Raw genomic sequence first — 22,478 nt, 5'->3', positions numbered from 1 at the left:
TTTCTGTGAAAGGGCAACATGAGGGATGTTTGGGAGGGAAGTGTTCCCTTCTTGCTGTATCAATGTCAATCTCCTGGCTCTGATCCGTTACTGTAGCTGCAAGGTGCTACCGTTGAGGGAACTGGCCGGAGTACCTGGGATCCCTCTGTATGTTTCCTCACAACTGCATGAGAAGCTACAATTATCTCAAAATAAAAAGTTTAATTTAAAAAGCGGTCACATCCTTTACGTTTGCATTTCTGTGATATTCTGTAAAAAGCAACAGTATAGGGTCAGAAAGAGGCCAGTGGTTGCCATGGTTGGGGTACAGAAAGGGTTTGAATGTAAAAGGAACGTAAGGGCTGAGAGCAGGGGCTCACCCCTGTAATCCCAGCACTGTGGGAGGCTGAGGCAGGTGGCTCACTTGGGGCCAGGAATTTGAGACCAGCCTGGCCAACACGGCGAAACCGTCTCTACTAAAAATACAAAAATTACCCGGGTGTGGTGACTCGCACCTGTAATTCCAGGTACTCGTGAGGCTGAGGCAAGAGAATCGCTTGAACCCAGGAGGCGGAGGTTGCAGTGAGCCGAGATTCACCTCTGCACACCAGCCTGGGTGACAGAGTGAGACTGTGTCTCTAAAAAAGGAGTGCTTAGAGAAATTTGGGGGGGGGGGGTGGAAATATTCTGTATTTCAATTGTGATAGTTACATGAGTCAATGATATTTTAAAAATTATACTAGGTTTTATTAGCTACACCAAAAACAGTAAACTTTAAATTAAAATAGAAATATTTCAAATGTTTAAAATGTTTTAAAATATTTGTTATGCCATTACAGTTGTCAAAAACATATCTTAAATGTTTAGTGTTCCCTACCATGGACGTAACATAGTTTATTTTACCTCCCCCTACTGGAAGCAGAAGCCATCAGCTTGTGCAATTAGCAATTAGCTTGTCCCTGAACCTGAATTTCCTTCTTCTAAAATAAGACAATGAGTATTTCAGAGCCATTTCCAGAATCTCTAAATAAAGAAAAAAGCTTGCTCTCTGAGAATAAAAACTAAGTCAATACATAACACAAAGGGCCGAGAAATGCCAAAGGTTTCTGGTCTAGGCAGCTTTGGCAGTGGTTTCATGAACTATAGTCTCAAATCCAGTGGACGTGTGCCCACCAATTACAATGGGAAACATGAAAATAAGGAAAGATGACTTGTCCCAAAGCCACCGTAGTCGGGGATTGCAAGTACTGGACATCCAGCGTAAGCCTCTCCTAGGAGGGGTGACTTGGTCCCAAGTAACCATCTGACTCATCTGACTGTGGGTCTGTGCCCGCTACACCACCTTCTGATGGTCATTTTGCTTCCCACAAGGGGGACCCACAAGAGAGAGAGCTCCAGCCACACAGACGCTGGGCACGTAGGCTCCTGTGGGAGCCAGTGTTTAATGCAATGTAGCAAACTGGACATTCTAGTTATAGTGTAGCTTTTCAGATAAATCTGTGTAAGTGAGTTAGCGCACTTTTGGGAGGGGGAGGCTCTCACTTAGTAGGATTCTCAAAAGGGTCTTTAATCTTAAAATAAGAACCAGAGGCCTATAGAAAGAGAATAATTTAGTCAGGCAGACTTGGCTGATTATGTGAGTTTCACAATAAGAGACAGATGCTTAATACAGTGATATAATAAAATCTAGTTTCTGAGTCTGGAAGGCTGAAAGCCACTCCTTGCCCCACAGTCAAGATACTAGTATCTAAGGAGAAAACCAGCTGTCCTCAAACAGATAAAATATACCTCTCAATGTCTCCACATGGATGTATCTGGAGTAATTTTTTTCTTTTTGAAATTTCTACCTATTATCAAGCATAATTGTAAAAACTAAAAAGAGTTAATGTATATAAAACTATAACATGCAATCTACAAATCTTAGTGGAGTTTTCTTAAACTCTAAATAAATGACCATCTACTGTAATAAACATGAATTAAATGACCATCTACTGTAATAAACACAAAATAAATCACAAATTACAATTTACGTTTTGAATTTGTACCATAATGTAAAGAAGCAAGAACACTACCGTTTCTTACACATAGAACTACTCCTATCAATAATAAGGAATACTTTCTTTCTAAAGGCTATTTGTGCTTTCAACATGGACTTTTCAGTTCAAAATTGGGCTATGAGCACAGGACAGTGAAGACACAGAAAACTCTACAGCCTAAATGGAGCAGAAAATTTCAAGTTATCCACCAATCACTTACTGATTGAAGCTAGAAAATTACTAAATAAATTCCATGTCCACTAAAGAAGAAAACAAGGCCACTTGTGGTGGCTACACAAACAGAAAGATGCAAACTACCATATCACTATGGAGACTATGTTTAGATAGTTCTTCAAAGGTACTCACTAACAAATTATTGTAAAACACTAAACATCATGTGTTCTATGCATTATCCTATATTCTATATTCATTCTTTGTTATTATTCTATATTCTATGCGTATAGAATAATAAAAGTTATCCATACACTATTTGTTTGTGGTTAAATAAAATCTTCAAGCAATTACACTTTAAAGCAAACATCCTTCTTGACTCAACTCTGTATGTTTCACACTAGTCTATAAGCTCCATGAAGGAAGGGGCCGTGGCTGGGTTTGTCATAGTACCCCATGCCTGGCTCATAGAAATGGCTCTGCAACTATGTACTGAATTAATGTCATAAATGGTATCATAAATGTCCTTTAAGGACTGTCAGTGTTCCTAGAAAATTATAAAGAATCTTTAAAATGTTGTTTCAGACCTTCCTATCATATTTATGAATACTTTGAAAGGACAAGCTTTGCAATAGGTGATCCAACATTTGAAATGTCCAGTAAATAGAAATGAGACTCCAGGGGAAAGATGAAGTTCACATTACTCAACCTCTTTCAACTATGTGTGATTTCAAGTCATCTGAATTTCATTCTGTTTTTAAAAAGAGTAACAAAGTAATACCGCCTACAGTAAAAGTCGTCTGAATCACTTGAGGGCTTAAGATGTTGACCCTTTGTGGGACTTTGCTTGTGAATTAGACCTTACTTAAATAAAAGTATTTCTTGGCCAGGCGCGGTGGCTCATGCCTGTAATCCCAGCACTTTGGGAGGCCGAGGTGGGTGGATCATGAGGTCAGGAGATGGAGACCATCCTGGCTAACACAGTGAAACCCCGTCTCTACTAAAAAAAAAAACAAAATACAAAAAAAAATTAGCCAGGCATGGTGGCGGTGCCTGTAGTCCCAGCTACTCGAGAGGCTGAGGCAGGAGAATGGCATCAACCTGGGAGGCAGAGCTTGCAGTGAGCCCAGGTCACGCCACTGCACTCCAGCCGGGGTGACAGAGCAAGACTCCATCTCAAAAAAAAAAAAAAAGTATTTCTTTTCCAACATGATGTAAAACAACTGGCCTGCACATCTAAATGCTCCTGTTTTAACTGGGCCTGCAAGGGAGTCTGTGGGTCACAGTTTACTACTCCCAGTAGGCCCCATTATCAGCTACATTAGCTCAACAACATTTCAGTAAACTAAAGCAGCTATACCATTTGGACAAATAGTCAGCTTTTCCAGGATTTGCACTCATTGGTTAATTGAATAATGTGTCAACATAACAAAATGTGTGCCTCTTGCCATCTCAGGGAAGCAAAATCTCCCCTAGACAGAATGTTCCATTTTCTGAGACTCTCCTGTAATAGGCAGGAAACTGCAGACCCATTGTTTCATTTAAATTAGCTAGATATTTCGTTCTGATGCTCTTCTGTTTTAAAATTGTGGAAAAGGCAAAGTAACTAAAATAAGGAAGCACCAAGAATAGTGACTTCAAATAATTAGCTGGAAATAAAAAAATCACTAGTGATAGACCAAAGGCAAATTAAAATGTATGCTTCTCATTCAGATACTAAAAATACAAATCTGAACATCTCTTTCAAGAATACCAAAAACTGGCGGTCACATGGCTTCCTCTATAATGAAGCTGATATAGAAACTCTTGTCAAAAAACACTTGACCCGAATCCCTTTTACCAACAGCGTGAAGTCATACCAGCCATTTAAGTCATTAGGCTGAGACTTTTAACACGCAATTAACTTTCTTACAGGATCTAGAAATTCCCCAACCCCCAACCTCCAAATCAAACAGGTAGGCTACTGACTGCCATCCCGTGGTAGAGAGAATTTTGCAAGATGTTTTACCTGATAATCTCAATGTAACAGAATCCTAACACAGCACAAGGAGTGACTGTTACTATGTAAATGGCTACATTATAAAACTAAAGCCAAAGCCACTAAGATAAGTAGAAAACAGGCCGGGGTGCGGTGGCTAAGGCCTGTAATCCCTTCACTTTGGGAGGCCAAGGTGGGCGGATCATGAGGTCAGGAGTTCGAGACCAGCCTGACCACCATGGTGAAAGCCCATCTCTACTAAAAATGCGAAAAAAATTAGCCAAGTGTGGTGGCAGGCGCCTGTGGTCCCAGCTACTCAGGAGGCTGAGGCAGGAGAATCACATGAACCTGGGAGGCAGAGGTTGCAGTCAGCCAAGATTGTGCCACTGCACTCCAGCCTGGGCGACAGAGCTAGACTCCATCTCAAAAAAAAAAAAAAAAAAAAGAAAAGAAAAAAGGAAACAAATTGGAATCTCAGGAGGAGGTTCCAATGGCCCAATTGGAGAGTCTATTTTAAAAAGAGCAACAGAATAACAATTACTGAAGGGCTGTTTCCTAAAATTACTCTCTGGTTGGTATTTCTCAGTTTTCAAATGTCACGAGAAATATGCTGGCTGTCACTTACTCTGCCTTAAAGCATTAACAAAGAATACCACTGAAAAACAAAGGCATTCATACAAGGAAGTGAACATCCTAAGCACATAAGTATGTTCTTAAGAGGGACACTAAAAAAGGAAACCCCAAGAAAAAAAATAAAAACTGAACAGAAGTTCCTAACTTTAGTAATATTATATACTACCCCCCCCCAAAAAAACTGCCCATGAGTTGAGATTTATCAATTTTATATCTAGAAACCCTACATATTCAGGACTCCCTGACCTTGGGTGGCGGAGGGACACTAGGAAAGGCAAGAGAAAAAGGAATTTTCTACCACCTTTATAGAAATATTCAGTTTTTTTGGTGAAATTTAGGTTTGATATAGGAGTTCTTGTTCTCTAAGTAAGTTTCCCATTTGCCAGAAATTTTAAGCAGCATTGATTTTTTCAATTAGCTTCTGATATGCTACACTCTGGCATAGGGGTGTTAAACTCACGACATTGCAGAAGGGTTTGCACTTTTTCCTTATTTTCACTACTTGGCATTGTCTATCAAAGAGTAGCACATCCTGCAAAACCAACAAGAGGCATGGGCTAAGGAGGGAGAAGCAAGCCCAAAATATCTAGCAAGCATGTCTTCATTTGCACAATTTAGCTTTTTCACAAGAAATAACAAGGGGACTGGTATTTTCTGTATCATAGGGCTCATAGATGGACTTGTAAAAAAATCACATTATGATCACTTAGCATTAGGTAACATTTAAGCAATTTTGGGCGCCTAACACTTGAAGGACTGATGATTTCAAATGGACAATAACTTTGGTTTAAATTCCAACATTTTATAGAATTGCATGGTTTCAAATTCACCATAAAGAAAATGCCTCTTTTGAGCATCAATTCAAAGAGCTATTTAGCATTAAGGAACCTCATTAGCTGTACAACTCATGATGGTGTTAATTAGGAAAGGAGCTAGAGAAAAAAAAATCCATCGCTGAAGCCTTGATACATTATTTAAAACTCACTATTAACCTGATGAACTATTTTTTTCCGGGGAAGTGCTAATGACATGAGCTGGCAAAAAATTTTACTAGTTCCTTAATAATAAATCATTTGAGGGAAAATTGCAACTTGGTATGGACCTCACCGAGCCCCTCGCCAATTCAATCAGGCCCTCCTTTGATAATTTAACAACAAATTCCTGTCTGGAATCATCCATTCAAGTGCCTTTTTAAATGAATCCCATTTCAATTTTTTAATAAAGTACTACCAGTAGATCTGCAAGTTGAGGAAAGCAGCTCAGGTGACACACTTGGCACCAAAAAGAATACTGAGTGGGTCGAAATCCTGCCTGGGCAGACAATAGAAGAGGAGACGAAGAAGGTGACTAGACTTAGGGACTTCAAGAAGAGCAAGCACTGAAAAGAGCAGTTTAACTACCTCGGACAGTAAGCAACAAGCCTGCAGTCCCCAGATAATCGGCCCAGAGGGAGCTGAAAGGATGGAGTTGGAAAGGGGAACCACAGAGCCCGGGAAGAAGGAGCGACCAGGATGGAGCGCAAACGAGTGACAGGCAAGGAGCCCAAAGGGACCACACCAATGCAACAGGTAGAACCACGGGGATGGGACAGGAGAGGACAGGGCTGGGGGAGGGGGCGACAGGGATGGAACTGGTCCAGCCAAGTCATAACCAGCCCCTTGCTGGGGTGCTAGCTGCGCGCAGGGCGCGGCGCCAGGCACTTTGGAGCGCTCTCTCCCGGAGTGCCCCCCACCCGCCCTCCGATGCCCCATTTCAGAGACTGGAGCCAGGAGGCCGGCCCCGCATCGCCCGCTCCGCTGTGTCACCCGCTCCGGGACAGCGACGGCTCAGCTCCCGATTCTCCCGGACGCAGGGGGTCGCTGGCGGCCGCAGGGGGCGGCGGCGTCGGGGACCGGCGCGGGCCGGGGCAGGTGGTACGTGGGTTCGGGCAGGACGGTCCTCTTGCAGGCGTGGTCGGCCGGGGTCGCCTTGCTCTTCTCCATGGCCATCAGGTAACTGACATCGGCCACCACGGCCTCCAGGTCCACCATGTTGGCGAGCTTTGGCAGCGGCGGTGGCGGTTACTCGGGACCCGGATGGGACGCGCGCCCGCGGCCGCCGCCCGCCGCGCCCCAACCTGGGGGAGCCACCCTGGGGCAGCCCCGCTCTGCGCGCCCCAGCAGCGCCCTGCAAGCGGTGTAATCTGTAGCCCGCCAGGGTCGCGGCGCGCCGCCCACCGCTCCTTCAGCGAGGGTCTGCGGGGAGCGTGCGCCCAAGGGTTGGCGCACCTGGGTGCAGAGTCCCAGCGGCCAGCTCGGTTGGCGCCTCCCAACCAAGTCTCTCCCCTCCGGGTGGCCACAAAGGACTCCTCCTCCTCTTCTTCCTCCCCTCCCTCCCCCTCCGCCTCCTCCTTCTCCTCCTTGGCTGCCCCGACCTCCCGCCCCCAGTTCCATGTGCTCTCATGCCCGCCCCGCTCATCCGGAGAAGCCCTGTGCCCGACGCCCGCTACCCAAGGGCAATGGGGAGGCCTCTGCTCCGGGGACACAGTAGTTCTCAAACTGGACAGTGTCAATCAGCATCCTCCAGGAGGTCTAGGATGGCCCCGGAAATGCATGTGTCCCACCTGTCCCCGCAGGTGGTGATGAAACTCCTGCTCTGGTCCGGGCTACCGGTGAACAGCGTCCAGCGGCCGGGCCCCCAACCTCCTTCCTGAGCCTGAACATCCCCCCAACCCCGCCTTGAGAATTCAGCGAAGAGTAAAAGCTGGAGAAAATTGCGTGTCTCAGGCTAAGCAGAGCAAAGTGGGGTGACGGCTCCCCCGCTAGGAACAGAGATGCCCTTAGGGAACCCCCTGATGGAAGAGCTCCCGGCTTAAGAAGGTCACCACTCCCTTACACTCAGGTGAGAGGTTTTAGTTTGGTTGTTGAAATGGTGTTGAGAAATAAGAGTATTCCTGCCCTTGGGGTTTTACTGTCAATATAAGGGAGGAGACCACCTCTCATATTGTCTTATACCTAGTTTCTGCGACCAAAGAAAGAAAAAGTAAAAACTAAAAGGCAGAAATGAAATCCACAAGCCGACAGCCCAGCGCCACACCCTGGGCCTGGTAGTTAAAGATCGACCCCTGACCTAATCGGTTATGTTATCTAGAGATTACAAACATTGTATAGAAAAGCATTGTGAAATCCCTATCCTGTTTTGTTCCGATCTACTTAGCAGTGCGTGCAGCTCCCAGTCACTTACCCCCAGCTTGCTCAATCAATCACGACCCTCTCACACGCACCCACTTAGAGTTGAAGGCACAGGAATTGCTCACTCGGGGAGCTCGGCTCTTGAGACGGGAGTCTTGCCGATGCCCCCGGCTGAATAAACCCCTTCCTTCTTTAACTCGGTGTCTGAGGAGTTTTGTTTGCTGCTCATCCTGCTACAAATACAAGAGACAATTAGGGAGCATCTGCTGCGAGCACACTCGCACCACGGGGGTGATTTAGGGAAGTGGAAAAGCGAGATACAGCCCAAACACCGAAGCTGGGGGGGAATTTCCAGCTTCCCGATAGGTCTCGGTGTCTTTCATCATCACTCCACCCCGCTGCCTGGGGTTTTCAGTTGCTTATTTTTCAGCAGTGTGCACACAAGTCCGCATTCAGGATCCACGTGACACTCAGGCTGGAGTGGTGTTAAGGAACATGCAGGCAGTCTTAGGAAGACCTAAGCTGGAAATTAATGTTTTAAAGTCCCTTTCATTCACCTGAATTGGTCACGTGTTCCCATGAGCCTAGACTTGGCTACAATTTGAGTAAATGTTCTGTCCATAACTTACAGGGTTAACGGGACCCACCAGATACAGTTAAGATCGTATTTCAGATTATTTCATGTAATGTCATTGCAGAAGCAGCCTGATTCCGTCATCAAGTAGCCTGTTTCCCTCTTTTGTTTTCTCTCTCACCCGGCAGCCCCCCTCAATCTGATTCCCTGCTATGCCTGCCATCACCACTGGCCAGTTTTACCACATATTTCTCAAGATCCAAGGCACAATAGGCATAAAGTTGTCCTGAAAAGGACAAGAGGAGTGTCAGAAGTAGGAATGGCAGTCAAAGGAGCTTGGTCTGGCAGCAGAAAGCTGAAATGACAGGCAAGCACAAAATATATTAATGAGACAAAGCTATGCATGAGCGAAATATCAAACTTTCATCTTCTACCCACTTTTTTTTTTTTTCCTTAAAAACAGGAAGACAGTTGGGAGGCTGAGGCGGGCAAATCACGAGGTCAGGAGATCGAGACCATCCTGGCTAACACAGTGAAACCCCGTCTCTACAAAAATAGAAAAAAAAAAAACAAAAAATAGCTGGGTGTGGTGGCAGGCACCTGTAGTTCCAGCTACTCTGGAGGCTGAGACAAGAGAATGGCCTGAACCTGGGAGGCGGAGCTTGCAGTGAGCCAAGATTGCACCACTGCACTCGGCCTGGGTGACAGAGTGAGACTCCGTCCCAAAAAATAAAAAATAAAAAATAAAACAGGAAGACAGAATGTCTTGTCAAGGGTCACGCCACATGGAGCAGTAAATTCCCCAGAAAAGCAGAACATGTTTTTATGATTTAATTAATACAATTTCTCTCAATGTGTCTGTTTATCATTTGAGCATCCACATGATCAGACCTGACATCTGCCTACATTTTCTTGGTCATCTTTAACTTCAGTTAAGAACCTTTTGGGTTTTTCTTTTTGCTCTTTTTTTGCCCCGGCAGCACAGTGTAGTAAGTTTGGAACAAGACACACCTGAAATCAAATCCCTGCTCTGTGCTGGGTGATCTTCGAGGCAATCTTTTACCCTTTCTACTTTGTTGTTCTCATAGGAAAAGTGGAAATGAGGCCTTTTACCCCCGGCTTTTTGAGAAGACAGAGGAGAAAAAGCACATAAAAATTCAACTTGTCGGGTGCGGTGGCTCACACCTGTAATCCTGCACTTTGGGAGGCCGAGGCAGGTGGATAGCTTGAGGCTAGTAGCTCAAGACCAGCCTGGCCAACATGGCAAAACCCTGTCTCTATTGAAAATACAAAAATTAGACAGGCATGGTGGTGCACGCCTGTAATCCCAGCTACTTGGCAGGCTGGGGCACAAGAATTGCTTGAACCCAGTAAGTGGAAGCTGCAGTCAGTCAAGATTGCACCACTGCACCCCAGGCTGGGTGACAGAGTGAGACCCTGTCTCACAAAAAAAAAAAAAAAAAAAAGAAAAAGAAAAATGCATCTTTCCTGGCACCTGGTAGATCCTCAATAAAGATTATAAGCACTTCCTCTATTTATTTTGCTTCATTTTACCCTGGCATGCTAGAGAAGATACTGAAACTAGTTGTTCACAGTCATTATACTTGAAGCAGGAAGACCCCTTACCAAAAATAACATCTCCGTCTAGGGCATTTCTAGGAAACCAAATGGCAAAAACATTTGTATTTATAAGTATGAGCAATTACTGTTTTGGCAGAAAGACCAAGGAGTCCAAAATTTGATCCTCTAACTGAGGCCCCTACACCATTTGAGTCAGGTGACTCAATTACCCAGGGGTATTTTTTTCTGGTGTTCATAGTGTATGAATTTCTGTTCCCTGGCTGTCTCTTTGGTTGTCTCACTTTCTCTACCCCCTCTTCTTTCTCTTTTTCTTGACTCTCTTGATACTGAACAGCTTTTTGTGTTCACTGCAAACAAAAGGGGTTAATGACAGTGATGAAGTTGTCATAACTGACCTGCTGGATCCTGTTACTAAACGCCATCCCCAGCCTGTAATCATCACAAAGAACAGAGAAAACAAATAGCAACCCATTTGTACTTAGCTAATAATGCTCCCTTGCAAATAATTATGTTTCCCACCCCCAGAGGATTTAAATGACTTGGGGCTCACGCTGCTTGTGATAATAGACAAAACTCCAGCGTTCCCACAAGATTAATAATGTTCCCTTTTCTTCTTTTCTGTGCCTTTCCATCGTTACAGGAGATGTTGCTGAGATGGGTGCATTAAAGTTTAGGCTTTCCAGAGTTTATTTTGCTAACAACTTGAAGGAAAAAAGCTAACTAGAGAGCTGACTGGTCTTACTTGTTTTAGATTCTGGGCTTTACTAGGACTTCCTACACTCAGAATCTATAAACGCTGGGTGGGGTGGGAGCTGGGAATGTTATTCTGGGAAATTAATCACAAATGAAAAGAAAATCAACTCTAAGACTTCAGTTAGAAAATTTTTGAAAATGGCAGAACATGACTGGCCTTCATTCAAGTCTGAATATTTAAAGCAATCCTTGCTAAGAAGAACTTGATTTTGTATAAGCAGTCCCTTAAATACAGTTGCTTCTCAAGAAAACCACACACAATTGATGTTTGAATGGCTTTATTTACAAACATCTCACTCTGTAAGCCTCTGCAGGTATTGCTAGCCTCCCGGGGGCCACTGTCCCGTTTCACCTGTAATTTGGATCACAATTCTGTTTGTTGTCACACACATCATATGAACTGCTTTTCATGCTGCTTTTATCCACAAAGCTTTACAAGTTTTAGTGGCAGCTCTATATATGACAACTTTAAAAGAGCTGCCAAAAGGTATGATACCAAGCTTTGGTTTTAAAAGCACTGAAACATTGTTCAATACAGAAGTACTTTTCTTTCAATATGTGAGTGGAAACACATTTCTCTATAGGGACTGCTGGTCAGGGAGTCATTCTAAAGAAAAAGCCGCAGTGTTGCGGTTCAGAGCGTGGGCTCAAAAGACAAATGGATAAGAAGCCCAAGACCAGTCCTTCTGAGCTGTGTGACCTTAGACAAGTTGTCTAATCTCTCTGTGTCTCAGCTCTGCCTCAGTGTTGTTAACGGGATTGCCGTGAGAGCAATGCTGTAACATGTAAAAAGCGCTTAGAACTGTGTCTGGCACACAGAAAGCACTCGATAAATATTGACCTGGTTAGCAGCAGCAGCAGCATCGCTGGAGCATCTCTACATCATACAGGGCCTGATGGAAAGAGACCAGCACTGAGAATGAACAGAACAGTGCTGGCTCTGACCCGCTGGCTCTGGCATTGCTGAATAACTCTAAGCAAGTCTCTTAAGCTTTTTAAATCTCACTTTTCACCAATAACTAATGAAGGGATTGAAGGAGCAGGTCCCCTGACGTCTTTTCAAATTCTAAAATTCTCCAGCTTTATTTAATCCTGCAGTGAATCCTTTTGCAAGGTAAAGAGTACTCGCTCCCCTCAATAACATCTTATGAGTTTAGGTTTCGGTGCATAGGGCAATTCCCAGGGCATAAATCATTTCCACTGTCACCATAGCCCGCAGGTGAGGTGAGCAATCCATTAGCTTGCTTCTGGAAACAAGCCTGTCTGTATTTGTTCCCCCAGCATCTGCACTTAGCACACTGACTTTGCTCAATATATGTATTGGATGGATAAATGAGTAAATGAAAGAATGACATAAAGATCATAGATTGCCTCAGCCTTCTATTGGAAAATAACCTAAAGGGAGGGGGAAAATTACTACTTAAAACCACAAGTGCCACTCAAGGGATGCCTCCTATGAAAGGAGGAGTGCTAACTGCCAGGTCCCCACTGGTCCTTCGTGCTGCTTATGGCCTGGAAGGCCTCTCCTGCAGCCAAGAGCTCTGATGTGCTTGGGCTGTGCAAAGTTGAGTCTGGAAGCTTTAGGCACAGGAATGGAGAGCGCTCACTCCCTTTGCCTAAGAAAGGGGACTTAGAGAGGAACTTGAAAGAGGGAGTAAGAGAGAGGGCAACAAGTTGGGCCAAAGCTAGGCAGTCCATGCAGTGGGTGCCAAGCCTGGAGGTGGGGTGGTCTGGAAATCATTCCGGAACAGGAAATCTGTTCTTCTGTCTTCTGTGCCTATTGGGGTGATCAGAACCAACACCAGGTCGTGGGGGGCAACGAAGTCCAGAGGAGACAAAGGAATGAGAAAAAGACAGTTTGAGAGACAGAGTGGGACCAGAGGGCGTCACGAGGGTGGAGGCTGCGAAGGCCTTGAGCTCTGGGAATCCACTCTATTTATTGGTGTTCAAACAAACAAACAGGTGGTGAGGATGTGGGGGTTGAAAGGAAACAGTGTATCGAGTGAATGAGAAACATATGGCTGCTTGAAATAATGGGAGTGCTAGAAGCAAGGAGCCAGCATGTCTAACAGACATGCAAGCCCTGCCTCAGCTTCTCTCCCAACACTCAGCTTTTCTCCCAACATACCCCCCTTCTCTTTTTTGTAAAAACCACCACAGCTATCATTATTAGCATGAGGTGGCCTCTTTTTAAAATTAATTGAGCAAGGCAAATGTAGGCTGTGCAGCCCTTAATTGCCAGTTGGTGATCCAGCTTCATTTTTCTTAGCCCGTATTCAAAATGGAGTCGCCTGGTTTGAATGCTTCCTACGTATCTCCCCTTTCCCTTTTACAAGAGGACCCTTAATCCTAGGGGTTGCAGAAGGATGAAGGTCCGTCTTCTGTAACTTCTTCATGCTGAATAGGGGCAATGATACTCCTGCCTACCTATTAGGGTCTCTTGTATTCAGGGTAAAGAGGAGGCGCCCGCCACCATGCCCAGCTAATTTTTTGTATTTTTAGTAGAGACAGGGTTTCACCGTGTTAGCCAGGATGGTCTCGATCTCCTGACATGATCCGCCCGCCTTGGCCTCCCAAAGTTCTGGGATTACAGATGTGAGCCAACGCGCCCAGCCAAAGAAATTTCTTTCTTTGAGAGTGAGTCTTGCTCTGTCGCCCAGGCTGGAGTGCAGTGGCACAATCTCGGCTCACTGCAATCTCTGCCTCCTGGGTTCAAGCAATTCTCCTGCCTCAGCCTCCCGAGTAGCTGGGACTACAGGCATGCGCCACCACACCCAGCTAATTTTTTTGCATTTTTAGTAGAGACAGGGTTTCACCATGTTGGCCAGGATGGTCTTGATCTCCTCACCGCGTGATCCACCCACCTTGGCCTCCCATAGTGCTGGGATTACAGGTGTGAGCCCACCACACCCGGCCAGAAATTTCTAAGCAGCAAAGCATTCAAGATGTGGCCTGGCTGCTTCTAACTCCTTATGCTCCATTGCAGGAAGAAATAAATGAATTAAAGTTAGAAGTTATATTTAAAGGTAAAGCAGAGCATAAAAATTTGGGAAATTTGCAGGCTGGCCATGTGAGAAAGAAAGAAAAAGCTTTTTCAGGAGAGGAGCTCAAGCAGGCTGGGGAGTAACCACTTGTTAGAGAGATTTGCATAACTAAAAGGGAACCAAGTGCTAATAATTGATGCAGTGCTAATAATCGACACAATAGGAAATAGGCCTCAGAGCCATTTCAGAGATCTTCAACAACCCTCCCATCACAGGCTCAGAGGCCTAGGAGGAAAGAATGGTTTCATTGTCAAGGCCCAGGGCCCTACTGCCCTGCACAGCCTCAGGACACTGCTCCCTGCCTGCATCTAGGCTGTTCCAGCTCCACCCTTTGCTTAGAGGACCCTAGACACAGCTCAGGCTGCTATTTCAGAGGGTTGAAGCCATAAGCCTTGGCAGCTTCCATGTGGTGTTAAGCCTGTAGGTATGCAGAATGCAAGACTGTAGAAGGCTTAGAAGGCTTGGCAGCCTCCACTTAGATTGTATGAGAAAGCCTGGGAGCCCAGGAAGAAGGCTGCTGCAGGGGCAGAGCCCTCACATTGGAGGGAAAATGTGGGGTTGAATGCCCCACACAGAGTCCCCACTGGGGCAATGCCTAGTGGAGCTGCAGGAAGGGGGCTCCCACCATGCAGACCCCAGAATGGTAGATCACCAGCAGCTTGCACCCTGCACCTAGAAAAGAGGCAGGCCCTCATCTCCAATCTGTAAGAGCAGCTGTGTGGACTGAATTCTGCAAAGCCACAGGAACACAGCTGCCCAAAGCCTTGGGAGCCCACCCCTTGCACCAGTGTGCCCTGATTTTGGGACATGGAGTTAAAGGAGATTATTTTGGAGCCTTAAGATTGAATGATTACCCGGCTGGGTTTTGGACTTGCTTGGGACCTATAACCCCTTTCTTTTGACTGATTTCTCCCTTTTGGAACAGGAATGTTTACCTAATGCCTATGCCCCCATTGTATCTCAGGAGTAAATAACTTGTTTTCATTTTTACAGGCTTATAGGTGAAAGGAACTCATCTTCAGATGAGACGTTGGACTTGGACTTGGGATTGGGACTTTTGAGTTAATGCTGGAATGAGTTAAGACTTTGGGGGTCTCTTGGGAAGGCATGACTATATTTTGCAATGTGCAAAGAGCATGAGATCTGGGGGGCCGCGGTGGAATGATAAAGTTTGGATATTTGTCCCCCAAAACCTCATGTTGAACTATAATTCCCAATGTTGGGGGTGGGGCCTGGTGGGAGGTTTGGGTCATGGGGGCAGATCCCTCGTGGCTTGGTGCTGTCCTTGCAATAATGAGTTCTTATGAGATCTGCTCATTTAAAAGTGTGTGCACCTCCCTGCTCTCTCTCTCTCTCTCTCTCTTGCTCCTGCTTTTGCTGTGTGATGCACCTGCTCTGGCTTTGCCTTCCACGATGTGTAAAAGCTCCCTGAAGCCTTCCCAGAAACCAAGCAGATGCCGGCACCATGTTTGTACAGCTTGCAGAACTGTGAGCCAGTTAACCCCTTTCTTTATAAATTACCCAGTCTCAGGTATTTATTTATTTATTTACTTATTTAGAGACAGGGTTTCTCTCCTGTTGCCCAGGCTGAAGTGCAGTGGCACAATCTCGGCTCACTACAACCTCCTCCTCCTGGGCTCAAGTGATTCTCCTGCCTCAGCCTCCTGAGTAGCTGGGACTATAGGTGCATGCCACCATGCCTGGCTAATTTTCGTATTTTTATTAGAGATGTGGTTTCACCATGTTGTCCAGGCTGGTCTTGAACTCCTGACCTCAAGTGACCCTTGGTCTCCCAAAGTGCTTAGGATTATAGGTGTCAGCCTCCATGCCCGGCCTCAGGTATTTCTTTGTAGTAATACAAGAATGGCCTAACACACTGGGCAAGCCCATACCTTTCTGACCTCAGTTTCCTTTTCTGTAATAGGGGTTTGTGAAGATTAGGTGCTGTATTCATTTCCTGTGACTGCCATAACAAATTACCACAAATCTGGTGGCTTAAAACAATGGGAATTGGCCAGGCGAGGTGGCTCATGCCTGTAATCCCAGCACTTTGGGAGGCTGAGGCGGGCGGATCACAAGGTCAGGAGATCAAGACCATCCTGGCTAACAAGGTGAAACCACGTCTCTACTAAAAATACACAAAAAATTAGCTGGGCGTGGTGGCGGGTACCTGTAGTCCCAGCTACTCGGGAGGCTGAGGCAGGAGAATGGCGTGAACCCAGGAGGCAGAGCTTGCAGTGAGCCTAGATCGTGCCACTGCACTCCAGCCTAGGCAACAGAGCGAGACTCCGTCTCAAAAAAACAAACAACAACAACCAAAAAAAAACCAATGGGAATTGATGATCTCACAGTGCCGGAGGCTAGAAGTCCGAGATGGAGGTGTTGCCAGGGCTGTGCTCCCTCTGGAGGCTCTAGGGGAGGCTCCTTCCTACGTCTTCCAACTTCTGGGGGCTCCAGGTGTTCCTTGGCTTCTGGCTGCATGGCTCCGACCTCTGCTTCATCTTCACATGGCCTTCTCTTCTTCACTCTCCTCTTCTGTCTCAAATCTCTGTACGCTTTTCTTTTCCTTTCTTTTATTTTTTCTTTTATGAGATGGAGTTTCACTTTTGTTGCCCAGGCTGGAGTGCAGTGGCATGATCTCGGCTCACTGCAACTTTCGCCTCCTGGGTTCAAGCGATTCTCCTGCCTCAGCTTCCTGAGTAGCTGGGATTACAGGTGCATGCCACCAAGCCCAGCTAATTTTTGTATTTTTAGTAGAGATGGGGTTTCACCATGTTGTCCAGGCTCGTCTCAAACTCATGACCTCAGGTGATCCACCCACCTCGGCCTCCCAAAGTGCGGGGATTACAGGCTTGAGCCACAGCACCCAGCCTTTGCTTTTCTTTTCTAAGGACCATTTGTCCTTGGACGCAGAGTCCACCTGGATAATCCATCTCAAGATCTTTAACTTAATGACATCTGGGAAGACCCTTTTCCCAACTCGGTTAACATTCACAGGTCCCAGGGATTAGGATGTGGATATATCTTTTTGAAGGCCACGGTTCAATCCACTGTAGGTGTCTTTAAAGCACTTAAAAATGAAAATGAAAACTGAATGTCAACTCCTTCAACTGCAGTGAAAAAATAAGACTGTTCAGTGGACCGGACTTCTTAGCAGTTTTATTTTTCACTGCAGATTATTTTTCACCACTCATGAGGGCCTGCCCAGGGCATTCTCTCCCAGGAGGCAAGTTACTGTGACCAGCCAAATGATCAGGAGGGTCAAAGAAATGGCTACAGAAACAGGGATGGACAATGACTGTCAGAAGGAGGAGAGAAGTGGAGGATGACAGCTGAGGTGAGTGCCTAGCTCATTTGTCCTCACTCCCTCTCTTGAATCCATGTTAATCACAATTTACATGAATGCAGCGCTTTAAAAGTAAGGTATATGGAGAAACCCCATTTCTACTAAAAATACAAAATTAGCCAGGCATGGTGGCACATGCCTGTAATCCCAGCTACTTGGGAGGCTGAGGCAGGAGAATCACTTGAACCCGGGAGGCAGAGGCTGCGGTGAGCCAAGATCGTGCCATTGCACTCCAGCCTGGGCAACAAGAACAAAACTCCGTCTCAAAAAAAAAAAAAAAAGTAAGGTATAATGGCTCATGCTTATAATGCCAACACTGTGGGAGGCCAGGCCAGGAGGATGGCTTAATCCTAGGAGTTCAAGACCAGCCTGGGCAACATAGTGAGACCCTCCCCTCATCTCTACAAAAAGCTAAAAAAAAATTTTTTTTAACTGCTAGGGTTACAGGCCTTTTTTAAGTGGTAGGATTACAGGCCAGGTGGGGTGGAGGATCCCACCTATAATCTTAGCACTTTGGGAGGCTGAGGAAGGTAGATTGCTTAAACCTAAGAGTTCAAGACCAGCCTGGGCAACATAGTGAAACCCCATCTCTACAAAAATACAAAAATATTAGCCGGCTGTACTGGCACACGCCTGTAGTACCAGCTACTTGGGAGACTGAAGTGTGAGGATCACCTAAGTTCGGGGAGGTTGAGGCTGCAGTGAGCCAAGAGTACACCACTGCACTCCAGCCTGGGTGAAAGAGTGAAACCTTGTCTCAAAAGAAAAAATTAGCCAGGTATGGCGGTGCATGACTGTAGTTCCAGCTACTTGGGAGGCTGTGGTAGGAGGATCACTTGAGCCCAGGAGGTTAAGGCTGTAGTGAGCCATGATCACACCACTGCACTCCAGACTAGGTGAGACAGCTAGACATTGTCCCAAAGTAAATGAAAAATAAAAGTAAGGTATAAAAAGTATTGTTCAAACTCTTATTGGAGGTTCACATCAGTACTGAGAGATAAGAAATAGAACAGATATCATGATTCCCATTTTTTGAATGCAGAAACTGAGGCCCAGAGAGGTGAATCCAGCCTGTGTCCTTCACACCCTAGCTGGCTCATAGAAACCATGACCTGTTACCAACCAAGCCCTCCAGAGCCCAGTACCATGGGCCAATGGTGGCCTTCCCTCGCCTGCTCCTGGGGCAAGTTGCCAGGAGGTATTGCCTGTTTTGGGGGAGAGGTCTGCAGGGGCCTGAGGCATGGGCCTTGCAATGGGCAGTCCCACTGGGACCTCCTCTGGTGCTGCCCTCAGGAAGATGCTGTGGCTCCAAAAGCCCCAGGGGCACCTCTGACCACAGCAGTCAGTCTGGCCAGGTTGGGAGGGGCTCTTGTGCCCGGTGTAACTTCACAGAGCCAGCACATTCCAGTCTGGGAAGGAAACCAAAGGCACTTTGCCCAAGTGTCACAGAGCTTGAAACAGCATCCTGTGATGGGTCCCTGTCCCCAGAAGCAATGAGATTGGACAGGTGCTGAGCCCTTGTTACTTGATTGGGACGGACTTGCATCTGAGGAACAAACTGAGAGTGAACCTTTCCAAATTTGAAGCCTAAGAAAAATTTGGTGTCCTGATGAGCTGTGACAGGCAACCGTCTGGGGAAGTGGAAGCTTAGCACATCCTCTGGTTACTTATCACCTTACTGAAGGGTCTAAAAATGATGTCCTTGGGGTGTCAGAATCCTGCAGAATAAAATACTGATGAGTTTTAATTCATTCTTTGCAAATGAATTTTCTCAAGGCTCTGGTTGGAGTCAGGCACCCTGGGACCTTGCAGTAGTGTGCTTTGGGCCGCAGGCCACAGCCCCTTTCTTTTTTGTTTCCTTTTTGAGATGGAGTCTTGCTCTCTCTCCCAGGGTGGAGTCTAGTGGTGCAATCTCGGCTCACTGCAACCTCTGCCTTCCAGGTTCTAGCAATTTTCCTGCCTCAACCTCCCAAGTAGCTGTGATTACAGGTGCCCGCCACCACGCCCAGCTAATTTTTTGTATTTTTAGTAGAGATGGGGTTTCACTGTGTTTCCCAGGCTGGTCTTGAACTCCCGACCTCATGATCCACCCTCCTCGGCCTCCCAAAGTGCTGGGAATACAGGCATGAGCCACTGTGCCCGGCCCACAGCCCCTTTACTCTCTGGAAGTCTCTGATGACCTCTTCATGATGCTTTTTTTTTTTTTTTTTTTGAGACGGAGTCTCGCTCTGTTGCCCAGGCTGAAGTGCAGTGGCGGGATCTCAGTTCACTGCAAGCTCTGTCTCCCGGGTTCATGCCATTCTACTGCCTCAGACTCCCAAGTAGCTGGGACTACAGGCGCCTGCCGCCACGCCCGGCTAATTTTTTGTATTTTTAGTAGAGATGGGGTTTTACCGTGTTGGCCAGGATTGTCTTGATCTTCTGACCTTGTGATCCACCCGCCTCGGCCTCCCAAAGTGCCGGGATTACAGGCATGAGCCACCGTGCCTAGCCTTTTTTTTTTTTTAATATTCTTGGTACATTTTCTATGTAACCATTTAAATAACTGGCCAGTAGAGTCTTCAGATTTTCTGTATCGCTTCCCAAATTTAGAAACCTGACTTGACTTTGGACCAGTTGTAGGCCATCCTGTGCCCCCTTCCCTTGATTCCTGCAGCCAGAGCCCTAAGCAGGCCCCACCCACTTGAGTCCAAGCTGCTACCATTGTACCCACCTGCTGGCCAGGCCCCCACAGGGGCCTCTCTCCTCCTGACAGTCTCATCCCCACTCAGCAGCCAGAGTGCCCTCTTTATAAATGTAGATTGGATCCTTTCACTGTATTCGTTCATCCAACATTTACTGAGCACCTGCTGTGTGCTAGGCCCTGGTACAGGCACAGGAAACACATCAGGGAACAAAACTACACTCTCTGCTCTCCTGGGGCTTCCTTGCTAGTGGAGGGAATAAAGATATGTAAACATGTCAGGTAGTGATGAGTGCAAAGGAGAAAAGTAAATCAGAGAAATGGAGCAGAAACTGCTGGCAAGAGTGGGCGGTGGGGGGGTATGATTTGCAATTTTCAACAGGGGTGGTCAGGCCTGACTGAGGAGCCGAAGAGGTAAGAGAGTAAAGCCATGTGGCTAAGTGGGGTGAAAGAGTTGAAGCAGAAAAGGTGGGAGGATCACCAGGCATGATGGTCCCTGTCTGTAGTCCTAAGTACTAGAGCCGGGCACAGCGGCTCATGCCTGTCATCCCAGTACTTTGGGAGGCCAAGGCGGGTGGATCACCTGAGGTCACGAGTTGAAGACCAGCCAGACCAACATGGTGAAACCCTGTCTCTACTAAAATTACAAAAATGAGCCAGGCGCGGTGGCGCATGCCTGTAATCCCAGCTACTTGGGAGGCTGAGTCAGGAGAATCGCTTGGACCTGGGAGGCAGAGGTTGCAGTGAGCCAAGATTGTGGCATTGCACTCCAGCCTCTCCAGCCTGGGCAACAGAGTGAGATTCCATCTCAAACAAAACAAAACAACGAAAACTAACTACTGGAGAGGCTGAGGTGGGAGGATTGCATGAGCTCAGGAGTTCGAGGTTGCAGTGAGCTATGATCACACCACTACACTCCAGCCTGGGTGACAGAGCGAGACCCTGTCTCAAAAAAAAAAAAAAAAAAAAAAAACTTGTAGCAGAGAACAGCAAGTGCAAAGGCCCTGAGGCAGGAGTGTGCCTAGTGTGTTTGAGAACCCACAGGGATGCCACTGTGGCTGTAGCAGGGTGAGATGTGGGAAGGGAGAGTGGCTAAGGAGGCTGAGAGGTCAGGGAATAAGTGTGGCTGGAGCCGGCCCTGAAGGTGCCCGAGACCCTTGTTTCTCTCCTGAGATGGCGGCCCTCACAAACCCTGGAGCTTCCCTGGCTGCCATGAGGTCAGGCGGAAGGGGGTCGAGGTAGAGGTGGACACAGGGTGCAAGAAGGGAAAGGATTTTTGCTGCTTAAATCCTAGCCTGTCTTCCCATTGCTGGTGGGGTACATTATCAATTCCTCTTCCCTGCCTGAGGTCTGACATGTGCTGGCCCCAGCTGGCCTCTTCCTTCCCCCAGCTCCACCTTCCACCCCTCAGCTCCAGCTCGTGGCCTGATGTGGTTCCTCCTCCCAGTCCATTGACCACGCTGGCCCCTGCCGCAGGGCCTCCTCTATTGATGTGTGCTCTTCCTGAACTGCCCTTCTGCCGGACAGCTGCTCCTTGGTGGCAGCTCAAGTGTCCTTCCTTCCCTAAGCCAGAGTTTCCCAACACTGCAGCCCAACACCCTTCATTTTTCATGACATTCTTCATGTTCTGTCAATGGGCCTTTTGTTGTTTTAATTTTGTCTTCTTGTTTTTGTCGGTCTCCCTTCCTAGAATTTAAACCCCATGAGGGCAGAGGCGTTCAGCCTCACGCCAGCCTGGCAAATTTGTCACAAATCTGGAGGAACGCACACGTTCGCGGGCACCCAGTTCTGTGAGGTATTGCAAGCCCTCTCTGAACCTGCAAGGTGGCCATTGCTGTTCCCACTTTACAAGGGAGGAAGGAGTGCCCGGAGAGGTTCTATTTAGACCCGCCAAGGGCACAGTCGTTCTAGAAAGTAGCAGATCGGGAGTTTGAACTTGGGCTTGCTGGTTCCAGAGCCCCTTCTGTGCCCCTTCCAGGCTGTGCCTGGGTGAGATTCTTCCCCTTCGAGCACCTCTTCTTCCTCGAGGGTTCAGTGGCTGAGCTGACACCGGTGGGCAAGAGGCCTTGGCCTGCTTGTTGAAGGACTCAAAGGTGGCGTCTGGAAGCCTGGCGGGACTTTTCCCCTGTCAGCCTAGAGGCACTTTTAGAGGAGCGTGTCTGTTTCGCAGTCTTCGTGTCTCATAATTCATAATTAAGGTAGAGAGTACACATTTAGTTTAAAGTAAAAATTCAAACCCACCTCCACTCCCAGCTGGCCAGCTTCATGCAGTTCTCTCCCTGTCCCCTCCTCTGCCCTCCACAGGTGAGAACAAGTGTCAGGGCCGCACCATGGGACCCCAGGCTTCCTGCCCTGAAACTGCCTCGCTGTGTGCCCTTGGGCAGCCCCGCCCCGTGCCTCAGTTTCCCCACTCATAGAGGCTCCACAGGTAACACACCGGGCTCCTGGCCCAGATCTGCCCCCGGGCCCCGCGGGGCGGAAACCCCGCGCCCCAGCCCCGCGCCGAGCCTCCCGGCGGCGCCCCCAGGGC

The 22,478-nt window shown here is 47.1% G+C and overlaps 1 long non-coding RNA gene across 1 annotated transcript, besides 1 other annotated feature; it reads left to right on the top strand.

Moving 5' to 3' along the window:
* The first annotated feature begins 687 nt into the window (after nt 1–687).
* On the top strand, nt 688–10,071 carry LOC124905095 (uncharacterized). Its single transcript, XR_007068037.1, has 2 exons — nt 688–7,677; nt 8,730–10,071. It is a non-coding gene; the product is annotated as an uncharacterized LOC124905095 (long non-coding RNA).
* Nucleotides 6,834–7,013: a silencer, noted in NCBI's record as "silent region_13560". NCBI's record gives its function as "represses an Ori minimal core promoter by ATAC-STARR-seq in GM12878 lymphoblastoid cells {active_cell/tissue: GM12878}" and the evidence as "EXISTENCE:reporter gene assay evidence [ECO:0000049][PMID:35858748]".

The sequence above is a fragment of the Homo sapiens genome, chromosome 22 (genome assembly GCF_000001405.40).
Source record: "Homo sapiens chromosome 22, GRCh38.p14 Primary Assembly".
NCBI lineage: Eukaryota > Metazoa > Chordata > Mammalia > Primates > Hominidae > Homo > Homo sapiens.
Note: the sequence above shows the minus strand (reverse complement) of the source record. Positions and strands in the feature narration are given on the sequence as shown.